General features: G+C 34.3%; 1 long non-coding RNA gene and 1 pseudogene across 7 annotated transcripts in view; both read left to right on the top strand.

Annotated features, from left to right (window-relative positions):
• The window catches only part of LOC105377177 (uncharacterized), a 250,124-nt gene that overhangs the window by 136,693 nt on the left and 91,016 nt on the right, over positions 1-22,415 (top strand). For 6 of the 7 annotated variants that reach the window (XR_940994.3, XR_940993.3, XR_940991.4 and 3 more), the window contains exon 3: positions 2,369-2,425. This is a non-coding gene — a long non-coding RNA (uncharacterized LOC105377177). Of the gene's footprint in view, positions 1-2,368; positions 2,426-3,400; positions 5,004-22,415 lie in introns of those variants that run through there. The other variant, XR_940990.3, reaches the window with a different exon arrangement.
• On the top strand, positions 5,583-5,695 carry LOC124906335 (uncharacterized; annotated as a pseudogene).

Here is a 22,415-nt window from a genome sequence, read left to right as displayed (position 1 = left end):
ATCTCGGAGGTATGTTTCTCCTGGAGTAAAAATTTTGATATAAGTAAATAATGATGATAATTGAGGATTTGTTTGTATTTTTAAATGGCACACCACCCAATTATCCTATCAAGATGTATACTGATGCTCAAAACAGTAAAAAATTGCTGTTCCTTAATTTGAAGTGGATAATGTATTATTTCCTTAAGAATCTTTAATTAATTTAGTTTATTAAGTGGTAGAGAATATAATTTTTAAAGTATTAATTTAATTGTCCAACATTATCGGTGTTAACCAAAGTACACCGTAATTTCTATATGTTCTAAAACAGGTACTCAACACTTTTTATATTAAAAAAAATCTCCATGGATAATTACTTGAAGGACTGCTCATTTAAATGCAAATCAATTCTCTTGAGATAAAGGGCATTCAACAGTTAAATACCACTCTCCGAAAAGAACTTTATTCTGAAATAATATATTCATTAGACATTAAGGTTATTATGTGGCTCCAGTAGCCTGAGTTAATAATAAGGATTAAAAGCCATTAACTCTATGTATTTTATCCATTATATTATTTCCATTTACTTTGAATCTAAAAAAAAGAATTAATGTCTGCTTTTTCTAATAGAATTAACTTTTTCAATAAGTATTAAATAACAATTCCACATAATATTTTATTTTAAAATTGATTTTTATACTCCTTTGAATCCTTGAGAGTTTTCCCTAATGACTGTGCTTAATACCTGGGTGATGGGTTGTTCTGTGTAGCAAACCACCATAGCAAACCACGTTTACCTACATAACAAACCTGCACATCCTGTACATGTACCCTGGAACTTCAAATATGAGTTGATATATATTAAAAAATAAACTTTGTACTGTCTCCCTTTCCTGCCTGTCTTGGGCCAAATTGGGAAGTGGGCTCAGACTGTCTGCTCTCTCTGCCCCTTCCTCTTGCGTTATTCTCCACAGTGCCCTCCTCAAGGCAGCATGCTGCTGTACTTGTTCTTAGCTTATTTGTATGAAGGGCATGTATTATTTTCTATCCTAAGACCCCACCACTGCGTTTTCAACCCATGACATAAGCATTTATATAAATTTATGCCTCATAAGTGTCATTGCAGATACCATAAGGTATTTTAAACACTGGTCATATTACACGCGATGGCTTACAAGAATAAAAATTACGTTTCTTGGATATTTAAAATTTGTAAGAACCGGCCGGGCGTGGTGGCTCACGCCTGTAATCCCAGCACTTTTGGAGGCCGAGGCGGGCGGATCACGAGGTCAGGAGATCCAGACCATCCTGGCTAACACGGTGAAACCCCGTCTCTACTAAAAATACATAAAAATTATCCGGGCATGGTGGCGGGCGCCTGTAGTCCCAGCTACTCGGGAGGCTGAGGCAGGAGAATGGCGTGAACCCGGGAGGCAGAGCTTGCAGTGAGCCGAGATCGCGCCACTGCGCTCCAGCCTGGGCGACAGAGCGAGACTCCATCTCAAAAAAAAAAAAAAAAAAAAAAAAAAAAACAAATAATTAGAGACTTGCAGCCCACAGGGGAAGATAAACGATCAAAGAGCCTGATTCAGTTTAGTGGCATAAGACTTCTGTGAGTGCAGATGGAAAGTGCATTGTGAAATCCAGGGCTTCAGATTAAGGACTGCATTCTGGACGGTAACACCTCCAGTCTCCTACTCCTGTGATTTTCAGAACTCGGGGAGCCAAACATTTACCTGCTTAGCAGGATACAAGGGAATCCTCTGAGGAGATGGACTTGCTTAAAATAAAATACATACTGATAATGACATTTGTGGAACAGGTAAATTTAGTTCTATGACCCAGGCATGGAAGAATAAGAAAGGTGGTAAGAGAAAGAATTGAAGCTTGAAAAGGAAAGAGCCACAACATAAAAATTAAAGATAATTTAGAAGATTAAATGTAAGTGAAAAAAATTAGAAGATTAAATGTAAGTGAAAAAAATTTGTAAGAACCTCCAAATGTCTTTTAAATTAAAATACATCAGTGTTCATTTATTACCGATATGGTCAGTCTTCATAATCTTTAGAATGAGATTCTGTTAAATCAAAATCGACAAAGTAAAAGAAATCCTAAATTTTGTATTTTATTTGTTTTCTCATTATTACTTTGTAAATTTAGGAAAATATATATTAATATACATTAGCTATAATATGACAAATGCCTATGCCTAAGCCAGAATTAAAGGATTTGCAATTATATCTAAAAATCGGAAACCACTGTCAAGCTATTTCTTTTCATGCACCTTGGGGCAAGGAAAAAAGAAGGGATCAATGGACAAAATTACCTATTGATTTCTCAACGATGTGCATCCTTTTTTATTATAATAAGTTTTATTTTTCCCTTCTAGGTGTTAGTGCATTGGAAAATCATTTAAAGAATGTATCAGCTAATTGAAGGCTTATGTGTGAGTTTGACTTTTTATGATTATATAGAAATATATTTCCAAGTGTCTTTCCTTAAAAAGTTAGATACTATTTTAATTTGCATAGTATAAGTAAGACTTTTATCATTATTTACTTACATTGGATCTGCAAGGGAAGCCCTGCAGTCAAGTTTTATACCCACTTGATGCCAAGATTGGCTGTTTGGCTCATTAGATGTTATTGCTGATTTTCTGCTCTTGCCTAGAGTCTCTATATATTCCGTCATGGGTCAATACAGGGTTTCTTACTTGCATGTCCAGTTCGCTGTGCTGGAGTCAGTTCCTTTCAATAGAACCAGAGCAAAAACCAGAGACTTGGGGTAATGTAATCGTGTGTGTGTGTGTGTGTGTGTGTGTGTATAGGTTGAAAGAATGTCAGATAAGGATCAATTTTGCATAGCATAATGTGAGGAGAATAATCGTCTGGAAGTTAAAATTATAGAGTGTTCAGATGGTAAACTGCAGAAACTTATGATACATAAAAGGAAGGCCCTAAAAAATAAGAGGATGTAGTGCTCATGAAATAAAAACTGAGTAGTCAAACCAAACATCAAGTTCTCCCAGAAAGTGAGTTAATTAAATGAAAAGAAATATTAATGGTTGAGTTTTAACATACAGTGGTCTTAGTTCTTCTCTCCTCTCCTCTAAACCTTGGACTTTCATTCACAGAGTAAGTGGAATATGATATAACTTCTAGTCTTACAGGATTTGAATATTGTAGATAATTTACAAATGATTCAGGCCATTTAGAAAACTATTGTTTTGCTCTCCTGATTCTTTGACTCTGGCATTCTTCTCCTTGAGATCATGTATTAGCTAAACTGATTCTTATTGAAAAGACAGGTGCTGAGGGTAACTCAAATCATGTATATAACTGATGGACTATGTGAATTTTTCTGTATCCTCCACCTATGTCTGTTGGCAGATGTCACTTATACCATCTGCTTTTATCTTTAGGTAAACAAGATTCCTGCCAGGCTTTGACTACTACCCTTGGCCTTCCTATACAGGGTTGTAAAGAATCATCATGATGTATGTTTGAAATTATGTTTAACAGTATTACAGTCAATATAGACTAAATTTTGATGCAGTAACAACCTCAGAACTTTTACAATCATTGCTGGACTGAGAGAGAAAGAGAGAGTGAACAGGGAATGTCACATGAGCAGAGAATGTCACTATCTCAACTGTAAAAAACAAACATTACTTCTACTCACATTTCATTGCCCAGAACTAGTCCTATACCTGTGCCTAACTGGAAATGAGCACAAACTATCGTGTCTGTCATGCTCAAGGAGAGGAAATTGGTTATTGGTCAGTGTCAATATTGTCCACAAATGTGAATTACATTTTATAAGGTGTTGACTCTGCCTGTCACCCACAAAAGAGCTTTGAGTACAATTGGCAAACCGTATATGCTATATTTTTAAAACAATATTTCTCTTCCATGTGTTAAATGTAATAATTGTTTTAGATTATTTAACTTGATATATTACTAAGCTTTTTTTCCCTACTCAAACAAAAAGTACTCTTACAATCAAAGAAACATGTTTATTGTTGTTGTTGATTTAATTTTCAAACACATTTGAAGGACTCAAAACACAACCACTCTTTCAAACCTCAAATATCAACTAAGTTATAATCAGTATCTTTTGTATGGTAAGGCACTAGACCCAGAATAACAGAAGAAAAACAATGGAAGATAAATTTAAAAGTTAATGGAAGAAAACATAATTATGGAGAGTTACAACTATTACATGTTTACTTTTAAACTGGTAATTGATATCTAAAATAAGTAAGGGTTTGATATGGGAAGAATAGTAAACGGGAGATAGGAGCACTAATTTTAAGACACTTTTTTGACATCAGTTAGTAAAACAATTTTGGAAAAAAACAATGATCTATGTTTCTTAAATCTAATTAATTTATATTATTTCATATATATTTTTTAAAATGAGCTATCCTTCAAAATGCAACCGATTAGAATATTTTACTATCTTTTCTATGAAGTTTAAGGTTTAATAAGCTTTCACTTTAACTTTCTAATACAATGGAATAATTTCTATTGTCATTTTATTGTGTAATACTATTGTAAAGCTTTAAAACATAAAAAAATACAAAAACATAAAATTTACATTTTATATAAAGATACAATTTGTAAAACAATTTAGAACATATTATTCTATTACAATAAATTATCCTGCAAACTTTTAGGGTTGTTCTTTGCTTCTAATATCCCATATGAGAATTTACTAATCTTAAGCTGTCAGATCTTACTTTTCTCACTTCCTTAACCATATTTTCTGCCTTCATCTCACCCTTGCATTCTCAAGCTTTCTTGACCTATGGCAAAATAAATATTAATATGAATTCATAGACAGATGTATATTTATAGATCTGTGGAAGATTAATATCTCATATCCATTTTTTGTTGTATTTATTTATGAATTTATTTATTCATGTGGCCCAGTTTGGCTTTTTGAAATGATAGCCTCATGAAATGTTTCATAATGATATCTTTATTCTGTGACTGGATTAAAATTTATGTTATTTCTGTAAACTCAGTTTGAATTACTCCATCTTTGATGTCTATAGTATGGAATTAACACAGTGGAGTTTATGTGCTTCATGGGACCCTTAAGTGCAAACTTGTAAAATCTTTCATTATTTCAATAATTACACATGATAATAATTTAGAGACATGAGTGACATCTAAACTTTGAAAACGGCATTGTGCTCTTTCTAAATGTATTATGGAGGATTTCTCTCATTTTTCTTGTCTTAATTGTTTAAATGCATTTGAGCAAAGTTTCCATTTACCTTGCTAGTTGTTTTAGATGGCTGCCGGATCGCTATTCATGAAGGAAGGACTAACAGATGGAGACCCGCTACTGACTTCAGTAAACCTAAATTATCTGAAAGTGGTAGAATAAGAGAAAGGTTATGAATGGTGATGACATTGAGCCCAGGTTAAATCCAGGAAGCCAACACCCAGTTTTATGTATAAAGTTTGAAAGATGTAAGATGAGAGAAAGGCATATTGTCAGTAATGAATCAGTGTAAATCAGAACTTGGGAACTGATACTGTTAATTGTCTTCTGGAGGCCCACTTAATTGTGGTTTTTGAAAATTATGCCACGAGGAGGAGATATTTGTGTTCTCTCATGAGCGTGAAAACAGCGTTTGGTGTTGCGTTATTCCAACTGCCATTTGCTATTGGTGATCGTTCTTCTCTAGAGAATGCGCAACCTACTCATCTGACAAAGGGCTAATATCCAGAATCTACAATGAACTCAAACAAATTTACAAGAAAAAAACAAACAACCCCATCAAAAAGTGGGCGAAGGACATGAACAGACACTTCTCAAAAGAAGACATTTATGCAGCCAAAAAACACATGAAAAAATGCTTATCATCACTGGCCATCAGAGAAATGCAAATCAAAACCACAATGAGGTACCATCTCACACCAGTTAGAATGGCAATCATTAAAAAGTCAGGAAACAACAGGTGCTGGAGAGGATGTGGAGAAATAGGAACACTTTTACACTGTTGGTGGGACTATAAACTAGTTCAACCAGTGTGGAAGTCAGTGTGGTGATTCCTCAGGGATCTTGAACTAGAAATACCATTTGACCCAGCCATCCCATTACTGGGTATATACCCAAAGGATTATAAATCATGCTGCTATAAAGACACATGCACATGTATGTTTATTGTGGCACTATTCACAATAGCAAAGACTTGGAACCAACCCAAATGTCCAACAATGATAGACTGGATTAAGAAAATGTGGCACATATACACCATGGAATACTATGCAGCCATAAAAAATGATGAGTTCATGTCCTTTGTAGGGACATGGATGAAATTGGAAATCATCATTCTCAGTAAAGTATCGCAAGAACAAAAAACCAAACACTGCATATTCTCACTCATAGGTGGGAATTGAACAATGAGATCACATGGACACAGGAAGGGGAATATCACACTCTGGGGACTGTGGTGGGGTGGGGGGATGGGGGAGGGATAGCATTGGGAGATACACCTAATGCTAGATGATGAGTTAGTGGGTGCAGCGCACCAGCATGGCACATGTATACATATGTAACTAACCTGCACAATGTGCGCATGTACCCTAAAACATAAAGTATAATAAAAAATAAAAATAAAAAAAAAGAAATAATACCACACATCTTAAAAAAAAAAAAAAAGATTGATAAGCTGGCTCATGTGATCTTGTGGCTCACCCTGGAACTGACTGACTCAGTGCAAGAGGACAGCTTCAGTTCCCTATGGTTTCATCTCCTGCCAACCAATCAGCACTCTTGACTCACTGGCTTTCCTCCACCCGCCAAATTATCCTTAAAATCTCTGATCCTGGAATGCTTGGGCAAAACTGATTTGAATAATAAAACTCCTGTCTCCGAAAAAAAAAAAAATTATGAAAGATTAAAGATGGTTGATTAAATGAAATATAAAGTTCTAAATTTAAAAAATATAGGAAAATCGTAATTATAGATATTATTTCATTTAACAGCCTTTGCTATAGAAAGTTAAAAGGATTGTTCAAAATTGAAGTGAGTGATCACTGGTCCATCTTGAACTAAACAACCATGGAAGAGTAAACATTTTTGGAGTAAAAAATATTTTATTCTTATTTAAATATATACAATGAGTTCAATAATACTATGAGTTTTTAATTGTATTCTCAACAATCTGCTAATGTTGAATTCACAGTATAAATAATGTAAAAACAAACCCTCATGTTTTATAAAAGTTCAGAAAATATTACAGTTAAAGTTTCCAATGTAGTTGATGAAAATATCTACCTTATATAATACATGCAGTGTATTAATAATTCAATAACTTTAAACAATAAATTTTATGTAGTAAAATGATGAGTTAAATTATTTATATTTACATGAGGTATTAACAATATGCCTGTGGCCGGGCACGGTGGCTCACGCCTGTAATCCCAGCACTTTGGGAGGCCGAGGCAGGTAGATCACGAGGTCAGGAGATCGATACCATCCTGGCTAACACAGTGAAACCCCGTCTCTTCTAAAAATATGAAAACAAAAAATTAGCTGGGCTTGGTGGCGGGCACCTGTAGTCCCAGCTACTTCAGAGGCTGATGCAGGAGAATGGCGAGAACCTGGGAGGCGGAGGTTGCAGTGAGCTGAGATTGCACCACTGCACTCCAGCCTGGGTGACAGAGTGAGACTCGATCTCAAAAAAAAAAAAAAAAAATGCTTTCAAGAGATCACTTTGGCATACTAAAATGTAACAGTTTTAGCATATTACAATATTAATGTGCAGAATGTTGAAATATTTATATATTGGTTTATAGAAAAATGAATTGCAGAATTCAGACTTTTGCCATTGTTTAGAGATGTGCTGCTTCTAAACATTTTTTCTTCAGATTCACATATTTCATGGTGTACTTAAATATACAGATCTACTTGAATCTACAGATGCACATATTTCACGGTCAATTTAATATATATTATATTTGCTACCTTACATATAAATGTTTCTATATCCTATATATAGACACACATACATATATATATACATACATAGAATATTGTTTTTTAAAGGGCAAATCTCTATTGTTTATAACAGCACAATGGTAACATGCCATACAGTTATAGAAAGCTATGTTATTACATAACTTTGAAAACAAATATTTTCAGATTTTGGCCGCTTTCTGTCTCTGATTGTTTACAATAGACATCTAAATATCTGCAAAATCTGACCCCTAATATTTCTGGGAAATTCTAAGATGTTTCTGCCTTGGTCATAACAGTGTCTGTTTCTACTAGAAATTCTAGTACTTCACCAGCCAACAATATCTTTTTTGCACCCTACAGGGGACAGCAATCTCTGCTGGCTTTTGCCTTTTAGCGGATCCCTGTTTTTCCTCTGAGTACAGCAGTTGCCCAACTAAGGTGCCACTGTCTGTCTTTTCTTGTCCAGGTACTCATGTCTATGGGAAAGTGTGCGTGTGTGTGTCGGGGGGGCAGTGGTGGGAGGACAGTCTGATAAAAGCCTTGTCTTTACTTTGGAATTGATTATAGGAGCCACAATGCTCTACAAGTGTTCAATATTTACATGATTTCTATTGAGCTTTTCTTTTTTATGTCCTTTTCTCAAAAACAAACTGACCAGTACAATTAAGAAATATACTAATAGTATTTTATGGACAAACATTTGAATCATAATAAAATAAAGAAAAAATGATTCCCACAGAAACATATATATATACACATATATATATATCACAATTTATGGATTATTTAATTGTCCCATGAATCAAGGCAAGAGACTCAACAATGAAAGAAACTCCTTCCTTGGTGTCCTCTTTCATTAAATCATTAGATGCCCCAAGTTAAAAGGCCTGAGCTTTGGCATCAGTTATAAACCATGTGATTTATATCCATTATCTAATTTTCCATTCACTACGTAATCAGATGAAAAAAACTAATATTTTTCTAGGGACTATAATTTGTTCAAAATCACTTATCTAATAAAGGTTAAAGCCAAAATTTAAACATATATCTGCCAGATTTCAAAGTCTCTGCTCTCCCCATAATGATATGCTGCTTCCCTTCTGAAAATATATCTAATGACCAGGCTTTTGCCATATCAGGATTCAGTTAAATTATGAAAAGAGTTATCTGAATTTCAGAGAAAAAGATGTAATATTTTTCACGGTACAAAATAAATTGACTATCCTATGGACAATAATGCCAGCTGTACCAGAAGACAAAAATATTAAAATATTTATAATACAAGGTTTAATAACCATTATTTTTAGTAGCAAGTATATTTAAAAATGACTTGAGTGTCACCCACCTTTCTGATGTATTTATCGTATATAATCACACAATGTGAAAAACATTATTTGGTTTGGGGAAAACAGAATACAAATGTTTAAAACATTTTTACCTTCTTTTAAACCCTAATCCATTTGGAAAAAGTATCTTCAATATAATTGTGTCATTAAATCACAAAAATGGAAATTACGTTAACAGCAGGATGTTATCTTTTATTGAGGGCAAATAGCAGGGTTGCTGCTAATGAGAACATCATCAATTTATCAGCAAAAGGTCAGCCTAAAGAGCTCTTTACCTAACTTCTCCCTAAGTAGTTATTTTCCCCTTTTGATGGCATATTGCACTGACAAGCTAGACTCATATGTGGCTATATTATTAGGAATCAATCTCTTTTATAACAAGAAATATGTAATTGCAAGATACACATTGAGTTTGGTAGAATACTCTGAAGTTAATTTCTTTCTCTATACAAGATATTAAGATAATTGTGGTAATGTAACTTTCTTGTTCATTTATTTTTTAACAGTTTGACATTATATTTTAGTATGTTTTCATGCAAACATTTGGAAGGTGTAAAAGTATATTATGTAATGCATAAGTTTATGCATGGATTAAGATAGGCCTTAGTCCACATTGATGTGATTTTTATTCTTATTCTCCTACTTGCTTGCTCTTCTAACAGAAAGATGAAGTGGTAATCAAAATAACAATATCATTTATTGTGAATGTGCCATCTGCCATGCACTAGTCTGTTTTATAAACACCTTTCTTTTTAATTAATAATGACCTTGTAATACTTACAATGATAAATTTTTCTTTGCTTTTCTGTAGATATTTGAAGGCTGTCACAAGAGTTTGTGAATATTTGATTAGAATTGCTTTACTAATGATATTCAATAATTTAGATTCAGGTCTTTGGAATATAAGGCTGTGGAAGTTGTTGATTACATCACTTGAAAGTCTGTGCTTATAACAGCAAAATACAGCACAGAATTACTCTAATTAATAACAGGAATACTACTATGAATAAAAAGTAGCCATTAATTCTTCAAAAGTAAGGCCTAGGGCAGGCAGATTCCATCAGGCACCTCATTTTCCAAACCTGGTCTCATTATGACTTTTGTTTTGAAACGAAGGAGACTAAATAACTGGCCAGTGGGCTAAAACCTAGAGAGAAAAAATTAATTCAAACCTCACTTTTCCAGTGTTGTGATGGTTAAATTTATGTGTCAACTTAGGTAGGTCCTAGTACCCAGATATTTGGTCAAATGCAAGTCTAGATGTTGCTGTGTAGTTATTTCTAAAGGGTAACATTTAAATCAGTAGACTTTGAATACAGCAGATTACCTTCCATCATGTGGGAATGCATCTCTAATAATTACTTGAAGACTCTAAGAGAAAAAAGACAGATGTCTTCTGGAGGACAAGGTATTGGGCCAGCAGATTACTTTTGGACTGGAGCTACAACATGACTTCTTCCCTGGGTCTCCCAACTTCTGGCCGACCTGGCAGATTTGTGACTTGCCAGACTCCAAAATTACATAAGGCAATTCCTTAAAATAAATCTCTCTCTCTCTCTCTCTCTCTCTCCCTCTCCCCCTCCCTCCCTCTCCCTCCCTCTCCCGCTCCGTCTCCCTCTCTCTCTCTTTCTATCTAATCCATACCTAATATTCTATTTGTTATGTTTCTCTGTATAACCCTGATTAACACAGTTTGTGAATATGCCACTGTAACTGAATTTTTAATTTTTTTTTTCTTCTCCAAATGTATATATATGTATACTCAATCTTTATAATTTCGGGTGCTTTTCACCCAGTTTTTTTGATAGCATTTTGGCCTTTCTTTTTAATCACCATAAATGTTTTTCACTTCATCTTTCAAAAACTAAATTGGCGGCCCTCAAACAATTTAGATAGGGATTAGTCTACAGCCCGTATCATCTTCTGGCATGCCACAATGCATGTTGTTTTTTGCATATCATCTTTATTTTTCTCTTTTTGATAGTTATTATATGAGATAAAAAGAGAACCATTTCTCAGTGATGTTACAGACGAGTGAAGGGAGTATACAGATAAGTAAACTCACAATTGTAACACAACATGAAATATGTCAGGGCACATAGATGTTGCACATTTGGGATGTAAGCATACTATTAGAAGGGCCAGAGGAGACTTGCAGATGGAAATGATTCTTAGGCAGATATCTGTAGGGTGAGTAGTAATATTTAAAATAATATATATTACCCTTTGTATGTTTCTGTAACTAGCCTATGTGTTTTGCAAGCATTAACTCATTTAATTTTATCACAAAAAATAATGCTAATTGTTATGATTTCCTTTTTTTTTTTTTTTTTTTTGAGGCACAGTCTCGCTCTGTCGCCCAGACTGGAGTGCAGTGGCCCGATCTCAGCTCACTGCAAGCTCTGCTTCCCGGGTTCACGTCATTCTCCTGCCTCAGCCTCCCGAGTGGCTGGGACTACAGGCGCCTGCCACCAAGCCCAGCTAATTTTTTGTATTTTTAGTAGAGACGGGGTTTCACCGTGTTAGCCAGGGTGGTCTTGATCTCCTGACCTCGTGATATGCCCACCTCGGCCTCCCAAAGTGCTGGGATTACAGGCATGATATGATTTCCTTTAAAAAATAAGGCCAGGCGTGGTGGCTCACGCCTGTAATCCCAGCACCTTGGGAGACCAAGGCGGTCGGACCACAAGGTCAGGAGATCGAGACCACCCTGGCTAACACGGTGAAACCCCGTCTCTACTAAAAATACAAAAAATTAGCTGGGTATGGTGGGAGGCGCCTGTAGTCCCAGCTACTCGGGAGGCTGAGGCAGGAGAATGGCATGAACCTGGGAGGCGGAGCTTGCAGTGAGCCGAGATCGCGCCACTGCACTCTAGCCTGGGCGACAGAGCGAGGCTCCGTCTCAAAATAATAATAATAATAATAATAATAATAATAATAATAGTAATAAAATAGTTAAAAATGAAGAGACATCCAAAAAGGTAAAAGAGATGAAGGCAAGAAGAAAAAGTTATCTTGGTAGAGGGATCAACGTGGGTGAAATCATGGCAAGAGATAGCATGGCAGAGTGCAGCAACTGAGGTATATTTAATGTGACCTGGTTGTTGTTTGTTTTGTGTTTGTGTATACGCTGTGAGTATTTTAAAGACCAGGGAGGCCGGCCACAGTGGCTCACAACTGTAATCCTACACTTTGGGAGGCCAAGGAGATTGGATCACCTGAGGGCAGGAGTTCAAGACCAGCCTGGACAACATGGGGAAACCCCATCTCTACTGAAAAAAAATACAAAAATTAGCTGGGCGTGGTGGCGGGCACCTGTAATCCCAGCTACTTGGGAGGCTGAGGCAGGAGAATCGCTTGAACACAAGGGGCAGAGGTTGCAGTGTCCCGAGATTGTACCACTGCACCCCAGCCTGGCAAAAGAGCGAGGCGCTGTCTCAAAACAAAACAAAACAAAACACCAGGGAATGAGGAATGGGGATAGTAAGCAACGATCCCAGAGTAATAAGCAGAGACCGTGTTTAGCTTTTTGGACTTTACAACAAATTTTCATATCTTTACATGATACAAAAATTTAATATTTTCTTCTATGTATTTTATTTTGTTGGAGATTGTATCCTGATTTTAAAATACGAATTAAAATTATAATTGTGTTGCTGAGTGTATTTTTCTGTACGTAGTTATAAACATGCCTACCTGGTGGTGGTATTGTGAAGATTTTCAGCAGTTTTAAATTTAAACTTGCTTATCCACGGTTGCAAATATTTTTACTAGACTCTTACTTTTCTGTCCCACTTTTTGTTCAGTATCCCATATGAATTTTCAAAGAAAGGGCACTTAAAATTTTCTGGCTCCAGTTACTAATTGACGGACTCATTATATTTACCAAACCTAATTCACACATGAAGTACCTTTTATATAAGCTAAAAGAGAACTGAATTCATATGTATATAATAATGCTTATTACACTGATACCTGATCTCATTTATTTAGTTCCCAGCCTCAATTTCTGCATTTGCCAAAAGCATGAGTAACCACCCTTCACTGTGTTGAAAAAGATAGTAAAAATATATGAGGCAATGTTAGAACTCAAGAGTCTTTCTACAGATGAGTACTATAGTGTATACGTTTCTGGAGTAATGCACTTTTCACATTTTTTTGTGTGTTTATATGGCTCTCTTTTCCTGTATGATTTCAGAAACAATGTATGCAGCTTTTGGGACTAAGTCTCTTAACCTAACAGCATTATTTAGAATTTCAATTCAAAAACACTTAGTTTGGCAAAAATATTTTGTTTTATACAAACAGTTTAGATAACATATTGTCAAAATCTTGTTTCTTTAACTTCGAAAACAGGTTGCAGGCTGTCAATATTGATGACTACATTATATAGGAGTTAGCATATATCATGCTCTTTGAATTGGTGATCTTAATTCTACAGTATATGTTAAATAGAATTTTAGTTTACTAAGATATATTAAACCAGTTAGGGATAACTGCAAAAAGTGAAGATGTAGAAAACTGTGCACATTACAGAGTCTCATGCTATATATTTTTCTATCAATAAATAAAATTACAAAATTAGATAAAATGATTTAACTCCAGTTAAGTGAAGATTGTCATGGTATTTTCTTTAAAGCAACTTATTAAGTTAATTACTTAAGGATTTAATGTTTAATCTGATACTCCTTTGCACTAGTGATAATGTTTAAATCAGTATATTCTTATCAAGCCCTTAGTAGCCTATAATAGCATAATCATATGACTCTAAAAATAAGAATTATAACCAGAAAGGCTTACAGCAATTAAAAGGGAAAAACTAATGTCTCTACCATAAACTATTAGACTTCCATTGTAGTTATTGCCCTAATGTAGGTATCTAGACCCATACATTTGACAGTTTAAAGACCAAAGTTCTCAGAAATGTTTTCTCTTTCCTAACCTGTATTTTAAAATAAGTTAACATTGCTAGAAGGAGTTACAAAAGCACCAGTCAATGCACCCATAGATCCAATCCCTTCCTTCTTTTTATTGTCTATGTCCACATTTTTGGACAATGTCTTTTCACCATGTGCAGAGTGACCAGCTTTACCCCTTAGCTCTATGTGCGCTTGGTCAAGGACTGAAGTAGAAGTAAATAATATACCCGTTCTAAGCCTAGGCTTTTGGAGGTGATTTATGGGTAGGTTTCTATTTGCAAGTGTGTGTCCCTCGCATTATCTTGAGGACGTGCCTAGGCTGTTCTGCTGTCCTGGATGGAGCATTTGAGATGCATGATGAAGGACTGAGTTAAACCAGCTGCCCAGCATAGATAAGCTGAGTAGAATAACTTAATTTTTTTCATTAAGTTTATTTTCCAATTAACAAAAAGAACATCTGTAGCAATGCTTTTGGCTTTGTTAGCTGTAGCAAACTTGCTGGTTTATGCAAAAGTGTAAAAGTGTGACACACATAGATCCAGCTAAACAATAAGAAGAAACTGGTATTTATATACACAAGTATATTTATATACATAAACCATCACATTGAGTAGTTTGATCTCTTTTCCCTACAGGAAGACATATAATCAGCTTTCTTTGTTCTGATACAACCATTCAAAAAAGAAAAACAAAGGAAGGAGGGATGATTTAATATGTGGAAAAGCTGTACTACCAGCAAAGATTTGGTAGTACAACTCTTGCCATCTTCCAATCACACATTGTTCAGATGTGCTTTGTAAAAGAGTGTTTTGATCTTTAACTAGAATTTCAGAGAGTTTTTCAAAGCAATATGGCTCTTTATAATCTTTGTGTCAACGTCATTATCTTTTTTACTTATAGGAAGACCTTTCCCCCTTCATGATGCATAAAAGAAAAGCAAACATTTAAACTTCCTACCTTAGGCAATAATTGCTTCCTGCAAAGTGTCAGCTCATTTGTGAGCTGTTTCATGTACTCGCCAAAATAACGAAGTTATTTTATGTTTAGAAAGGCTCTAAAGATGATCCTTCATGATCTAGTTCAATTGTCCACCAACACTGATTTAATATGTTAATATCGACTTTATCTTTTTTTCTCTAATTTTTTTGTTTAAAGGAAAATCTTCACCATGATTTAAATTAGCCCTCAAAATATAAGTTGCAGAGATAAAGTTTGTGTGTGTGTATGTGTGTGCGTGTGTGTGTGTGTGTGATGTAACACCCAATACTTATTTAATTTGGAAATAATACTTTTTCTATTTATGTGATTTTTAGCAATTTTAACTATATATTATTTGGATTAAAAATAGCAGATAACCTTAAGCAACTTCTGAGGAATCAAAATAATTCAATTTCATAAATAAATATTAAATATATATTAAATACCAGGCACTTTTTTAGTTCATTAATTAATAGGAAAAAATCTTTCCTTTCCTGGAAATTATACTCTAGTTGAAATTTTCTACAGTTGGCACATAATTGTTTTATGATTAATTAATTTATGGCACAAGAACTTATGTAATAATACTACGTGTGAAGTTCTTTTTGACGTTGGGTTATGGTATACAAAAGAGTTATAATACATGTCAACATGGAGTACATTGATTTGTGGGTTGTGGAACAGAGGATGTAAACAATTAACAAATAATTAGGCAAGACAGTACAAGTTGTGATCAGTGTCATAAAAGACATTTTCAAAGAGATGAGAAAAAAAGTAATTAGAAACCACATATAAGATAATCCAAACTAACTTCTCTGGAGCAATGTTATTTGTGTTAAGATCTTATAGATGAGAATGAGCAGGACCTGCAGAAAACTGAAAGGATATTTTGACATATTCAGAGTATTAAAAAAGAGTACAAAATACAATCAAACCTAAGAGTAATGAAAGAAGCACACATCAAGCAAAAATTAGATATGATTTAATATATTAGATTGGCAAATTATTATCTGATAACTTTTGAGAAACGAAAACTCTCATACATTGAAGAAGTTACAGTAAATTGATTATCAATTTGGAAGTATATACTATTACTATTTAGTAATATTTACAAAAACTACTGTGTTCTTTGGAAGTGGGTAATGGGTACAGGCTGGAAAAATTTTGGAGTGCATGCTAGAAAAAGCCTCTATTGTCCTGAATGTACTGGTAAGTGTCACTCTGGTGAAGACTCAGAAAGAAGACTATTGAGAAAGACTCAACCTTCTTAGGGAATACTTATGTAAGCCTGAAGAGAATTTGCTAGAAATAGGAATGGCAAAGACCATTCTGATGAAGTATCAAATGGAAATGAAGCACATATTATTGGGTAACGAAGGAAAGGCCATCCTTGTTATAAAGTAGTAAAATAAAAATGGCTGAATCACATTCTGGTGTTTAAGGTAAAACTCGTGAGTGATAAAACTGGGTATCAGAGGCTTTGGTTCCCAAAGGAAACAAAGAGAAATCAGTTTCTCTTATGATGGATGGGAATTAGTGTTAGGACAATGAATAGCAGCTTACGAATGAGGCAGAATGGAAGAAGTCTCTTAGGCTATGTTCGATTAGACGCTATCGCTTGGTTGTCGCATGCTGTGCATCTGAGATTGCGGATAAGAATTCAAATCTGCAGATCAAACAGATTAAGTAATGAATGATAGACTGTTATTTAAAAAGAGAAAGGAAAATTTGTGTGTAAGTATGGGTTATTTGGAATTAAAACTTTGATTGCTAAAAGAAAATATCAGGAGTAGCTAAATTACAAAATTAAGGAAATACAATAAAATTCACACTTTGAAATACAAATCAATCATGATAATTAATCCAGGAAATCCAATACTATTAATAGCCATTTCAGAGAACATAGAGAAAAGGATGGTTGAAATAATTTGTACAATCCCCTAACCATCTCCTTGCTGCCATAGCCCTCTTTTGGCTGGCAAATTGTTAAATGAAATGAACTAAAATTAAAATGAAAGACTTTAGATATACTACAGATTTTTTTTATTATACTTCAAGTTCTGGGATACATGTGCAGAACGTGCAGGTTTGTTACATAGGTAGACACGTGCCATGGTTGTTTGCTGCACCCATCAATCTGTCATCTACATTAGGTATTTCTCCTATAGCTATCCCTCCCCTTGCCCCCCAACCCCCAACAGGCTCCCTAACCCCCAGTCACTGGTGTGTGATGTTCCCCTCTATGTGCCAATGTGTTCTCATTGTTAAACTTCTACTTATGAGTGAGAACATGCGGTGTTTGGTTTTCTGTTCCTGTGTTAGTTTGCTGTTCCTGTGTTAGTTTGCTGAGAATGATGGTTTCCAGCTTCATCCAAGTCCCTGGAAAGGACACGAACTCATCCTTTTTTATGGCTGCATAGTATTCCATGGTGTATATATGCCACATTTTCTTTATCCAGTCTATCATTGATGGGCATTTGGGTTGGTTTCAAGTCTTTGATATTGTGAATAGTGCTGCAGTAAACGTACGTATGCATGTGTATTCATGGTAGAATGATTTATAATCCTTTGGATATATACCCACTAATGGGATTGCTGGGTCAAATGGTATTTCTAGTTCTAGATCCTTGAGGAATTACCCCACTCTCTTCCACAGTGGTTGAACTAATCTACACTCCCACCAACAGTATGAAAGCATTCCTATTTCTCCACATCCTCTCTAGCATTTGTTGTTTTCTGACTTTTCAATGATTGCCATTCTAACTGATGTGAGATGCTATCTCATTGTGGTTTTGATTTGCATTTCTCTAATGAACAGTGGTGATGAGCTTTTTTTCATATGTTTGTTGGCTGCATTAAGTGTCATGACTAAAACACCAAAAGCAATGGCAACAAAAGCCGAAATTGACATATGAGGTCTGATTAAACTAAAGAGCTTCTGCACAGCAAAAGAAACTATCATCAGAGTGAATAGGCAGCCTACAGAATGGGAGAAAATTCTTGCAATCTATCCATCTGACAAAGGGCTAATATCCAGAATCTACAAAGAACTTAAACAGATTTACAAACAACCCCATCAAAAAGTGGGTGAAGCATATGAACAGACACTTTTCAAAAGACGTTGTTTTTTTCATAAACCTTGTCTTTGAAATGATTTATTTTCATTCTTTGTTTCCATGCTTTACTTGTAAGTGTTTGAGCTTGAAGGGTCGCATGTAGTAATTAATTTATGCTGTTGGTTTCAGATAGATCTAATGCCACTTTTAAGAATAACCCCTTAAGCCAACAGGAGTTTATTATTTGCTTTACTCATTAACACATGCTTAATTATATAAAATTATATGTCAGCATCTATTGATGTGATCTACATTCATTTTCTTCCCTTAAAGTATCACACCAGTGAAATATATTACTATACATCTTAATATACAAATATACAACATAATACATATTATTAGAATAAACATTTGGATTTTATAGGTTTTATTATAATATTGAATACTTTTTAGACATATTAAAAATTATTTTCTACTATATTCATAAATGAAATTGCTCCCTAATTTTATTTGGGATAGCTTGGTTGATGGTTGCTATCAATTTAATAATAATCTGAAACATAACTTTAAAAGATCATCTTTTTCTATAATGTGGAATGCTGTTACTTATAGAATATTGATGTGATTGTGATAATTATATATAAGTTTTACTATTAATATATGTTTTGTTTTACTTATTTATTATATTAATTAATTAATTTATTTATTAATTTATTTATTTTGAGACAGAGTCTTGCTGTGTTACCCAGGCTGGAGTACGGTGGTGTAATCTCCACCTCCTGGTTTCAGGAGATTCTCCTGCCTCAACCTCCTGGGTGGCTGTGATTACAGGCACACACCATCACACCCAGCTAATTTTTGTAAATTTATTAGAGACGGGGTTTCACCATGTTGGCGAGGCTGGTCTCGAACTCCTGACCTCAAGTGATCTGCCCATCTCAGCCCCCCAAAGTGCTGCGATTATAGGAATGAGCCACTGTGTCCAGCTAGTTTTACATTTTATCTCATGATTAGGAAGTGTTTTATTCCTAAGTGTTTATAAGCAACTTATATAATTTTCTTTGAGTTGATTTACTCATCTATAAAGTAGAAAAATTGCCTCAATTGTTTTATGTTTGTTTTTCAAGAATCTGAATTTCCTTTGAAAATTAATGTATTAAATTATTTGCCATAATTATATTCTCTGCTTTTAAATTAACATTTAAAATATAATTTAGGCATAATTTGCCATGTTTACTATCATTTCCTATTTAATTAATGCTTATATAGAAAATTAATATCTACATAGTTATAACTATATCCATTCATATATAGATCCATATCTATATATATGGATAAAAAAAGACAAATTGGAAATAATTACCTTTGTAATTTTAAGTATTATATTTGATTTTTTTAAATGAATAAATTACTCAATACCTATAAAAAGCTCAAAGTAATACTTGACCCATGTTTATTGTGGAATACATGTTATTATCTATTTTTGCTATTTAAACTTTTAGAGTTTTTTTACGTGTCTGTATCTGTGTTTTTTTTCCCTGTGTGCTCAAACTTACAGACCTAAGTGTTCTTTGTTCCATAGCAGAAACCAAGTAAGGCTCCTAAGTGACTGTGGAAATCCTCCACACCTTATTCAATATCAGAGCAAAACCAATGGGAAAGGGATTAAAGTTATTGTGATTTTCAGCTTCCTAAAGATTCTGTTATTTGTGTGGAGAAGAAGTAATATTGTAAGGTGATAGGACATTGAATTTTACATTTATTCAACACAACCTAGATTTGGCTGCTTGTTAAGGTTAAATCCGACAAGAAAAGGGACCTTTCAAGCCAGTCTATGAAATAAGCATTATTGGATGTCTCATTACCATCAGTCCCTCTTCACCAGGTCACTCATAATACCTGTAGCCCCAGCTACTGACTAGGTAGTGCTTCAGTTCTCTTCCTCTGTGTAGGGCTCCACAGAGTCTGTCTATTTTTTGACAGGAGGCATCACTCACGATCAAGATACACTAATGAATCTGTGTGTGTTTGTTTATGTGTGTGCATGTACAACACAGGATTGGGAGTCATACAAATAATCTATTGTGCCTTCCCCTTTTCCCTTCCTCTTTGTTTTGCAATTATGGTATTTGTGGCAGCACAATCAACCTATGTTTTCCATCAAAATATTTTCTAATCTAATTCCTTCAAGTTTCACATATTAGGGAGGGGATCACTCTTTTAATCTCTAGTGACGATTTGAAAATCTCCCTTTTACACTGTGTGACTCATTTATGTAGAAAAAAGGAAAAGTTAAACTTGAGATTAGAATGACATACACATAACATGTAATACAATGTAGCTTCTTTAAAAGAAGTTTATGTCAAATTAGCAAGTGAATAGGACTGAAATTTTATAACATATTTAAAGAATTTAAATTAGTGGCTGATAAAGAATGTATAATTATCATCTTTATGGTAAAATAACATGAACCTATACTAGCAGATTCCAAGGAGTACTTTTTTATCTAGCAACATTTTTAGCATCTAAATTAAAATATTAAAGACATAAAACACAAATCAGTATTTTTATCTTCTATCTGCCTGTTATCCAGAGATCTGTATTCTTTTAATTGCCAACTTCAAATACTTAAACTTTAAAAAGTCCTTAATGACTATATTATTATTCATTCATTCATTCAGTTGATTGAATGATTCAACAAATATATATTTTGTTCCCATTATGTGCCAAGAACTCTCGTAGGTGCTGCAAATACAAATGGGAAATAAATTCCTGCTCTCCTGGAATTTACATTCAACTGGGAACAAACAGAATGTAAACAGGTCAATGTCTATTATGTTAATGGTGATAAGAGCTATGAAGATGAAAGCTGCTTTACAGCGTGGTAAACTGTGGGTTGAGTAAGGTACTATTCCAGATATAGAAGCATTTGAGCAGAAACCTGAATGAAGTGATAATGAAGAAGTCTTTCAGATGTATTAGGAAAAAAATTTCAAACCATAAGGAACAGTAAATGTAACACTGCAATAAGCATGATTGGCACATTCAAAAGTGAAAAAGGAGATGAGTGACTGAGGCCCACTGAGTAAAAAGAGTAAAGATAGAATTTTAGGTCTGGGAAAATAATCATAAGGTTGTAGTAACTGGGACCACCTGGTAAGCAAAGGTAGGGGCATGAGATTTTATTCTGAGTGAGTTAGGAGAGGGATGGGAATTTTTGTTTTTGTTTTTTTTCCAAGAAGTGATGTGATTTGGTATATGTCTTCACTTTAAAATGATCACAACTATGACTGAGAATAGACTACCATAAATCAGTTTTAAAATATTGATAATTAAGCAAAGCATCTAATTCTAAAAGAATATATTAGCCAGTAATTTGTCCAAATTATATATTTGTTTAATGTAAAATCTATTCAGCAGATAGCTCAATAATATTAATGACCTTCTGCCTACCCTTTCCATAACTGTGACTAATATATGTAACTAAGTAAACTAGAGAAATTATGTACTATTTCCTATTCAAAATCTTTGGGATTTGTACTCTAATGAAAACTGATCCTGTTTTTGTTTGCTTCTTAATGTGTGTTGGTTGGCTTTTGCAAAGGTGTGAACGTTTTTGTGCCCTCAAAATTCATATATTCAAATGTAATCACCAATGTGATGATGTTAGACGGTGAGACCTTTGAAAGGTGATTAGGTCATGAGGATAGAACCTTCATGAATGGGATTAATGTCCTTACAAAAGAGGCCTGAGAGAGCCCCAATATTTCTTCCATGTGAGGATATAGGAAGAAGGATGCTGTCTGTGAGGAAGCAGGCCTTCATCAAATACCAACTCAAGATCATTGCCTTGATCTTGGACTTTCCAATCTCCAGAACTGCGAGAAATAAATTTCTGTTGCTTAAAAGCCACCTTATTAATGGTATTTTGTTATAGTAGCCCAAATAAACTAATACAGCTTTATTGTTTTATTTTGTTTAATGTTTTAAGAAACGCTGAATCCCAGCTATTGCAGAATTAACAATGTTTAGTGCCTACATATCTATTTGTTTTTGCTTAGTGCTATTGCTACAAAAAGAAACAGAATCCAAATTTTTAAAATAAAACAAGTGTTTGAATAACTGAAATATTTGACATAAGGATGTATATGATCACA

Source organism: Homo sapiens, chromosome 3, assembly GCF_000001405.40.
Source record: "Homo sapiens chromosome 3, GRCh38.p14 Primary Assembly".
Lineage (NCBI taxonomy): Eukaryota > Metazoa > Chordata > Mammalia > Primates > Hominidae > Homo > Homo sapiens.
The sequence above is the reverse complement of the archived record's forward strand: the minus strand, read 5'-3'. Positions and strand labels throughout refer to the sequence as shown.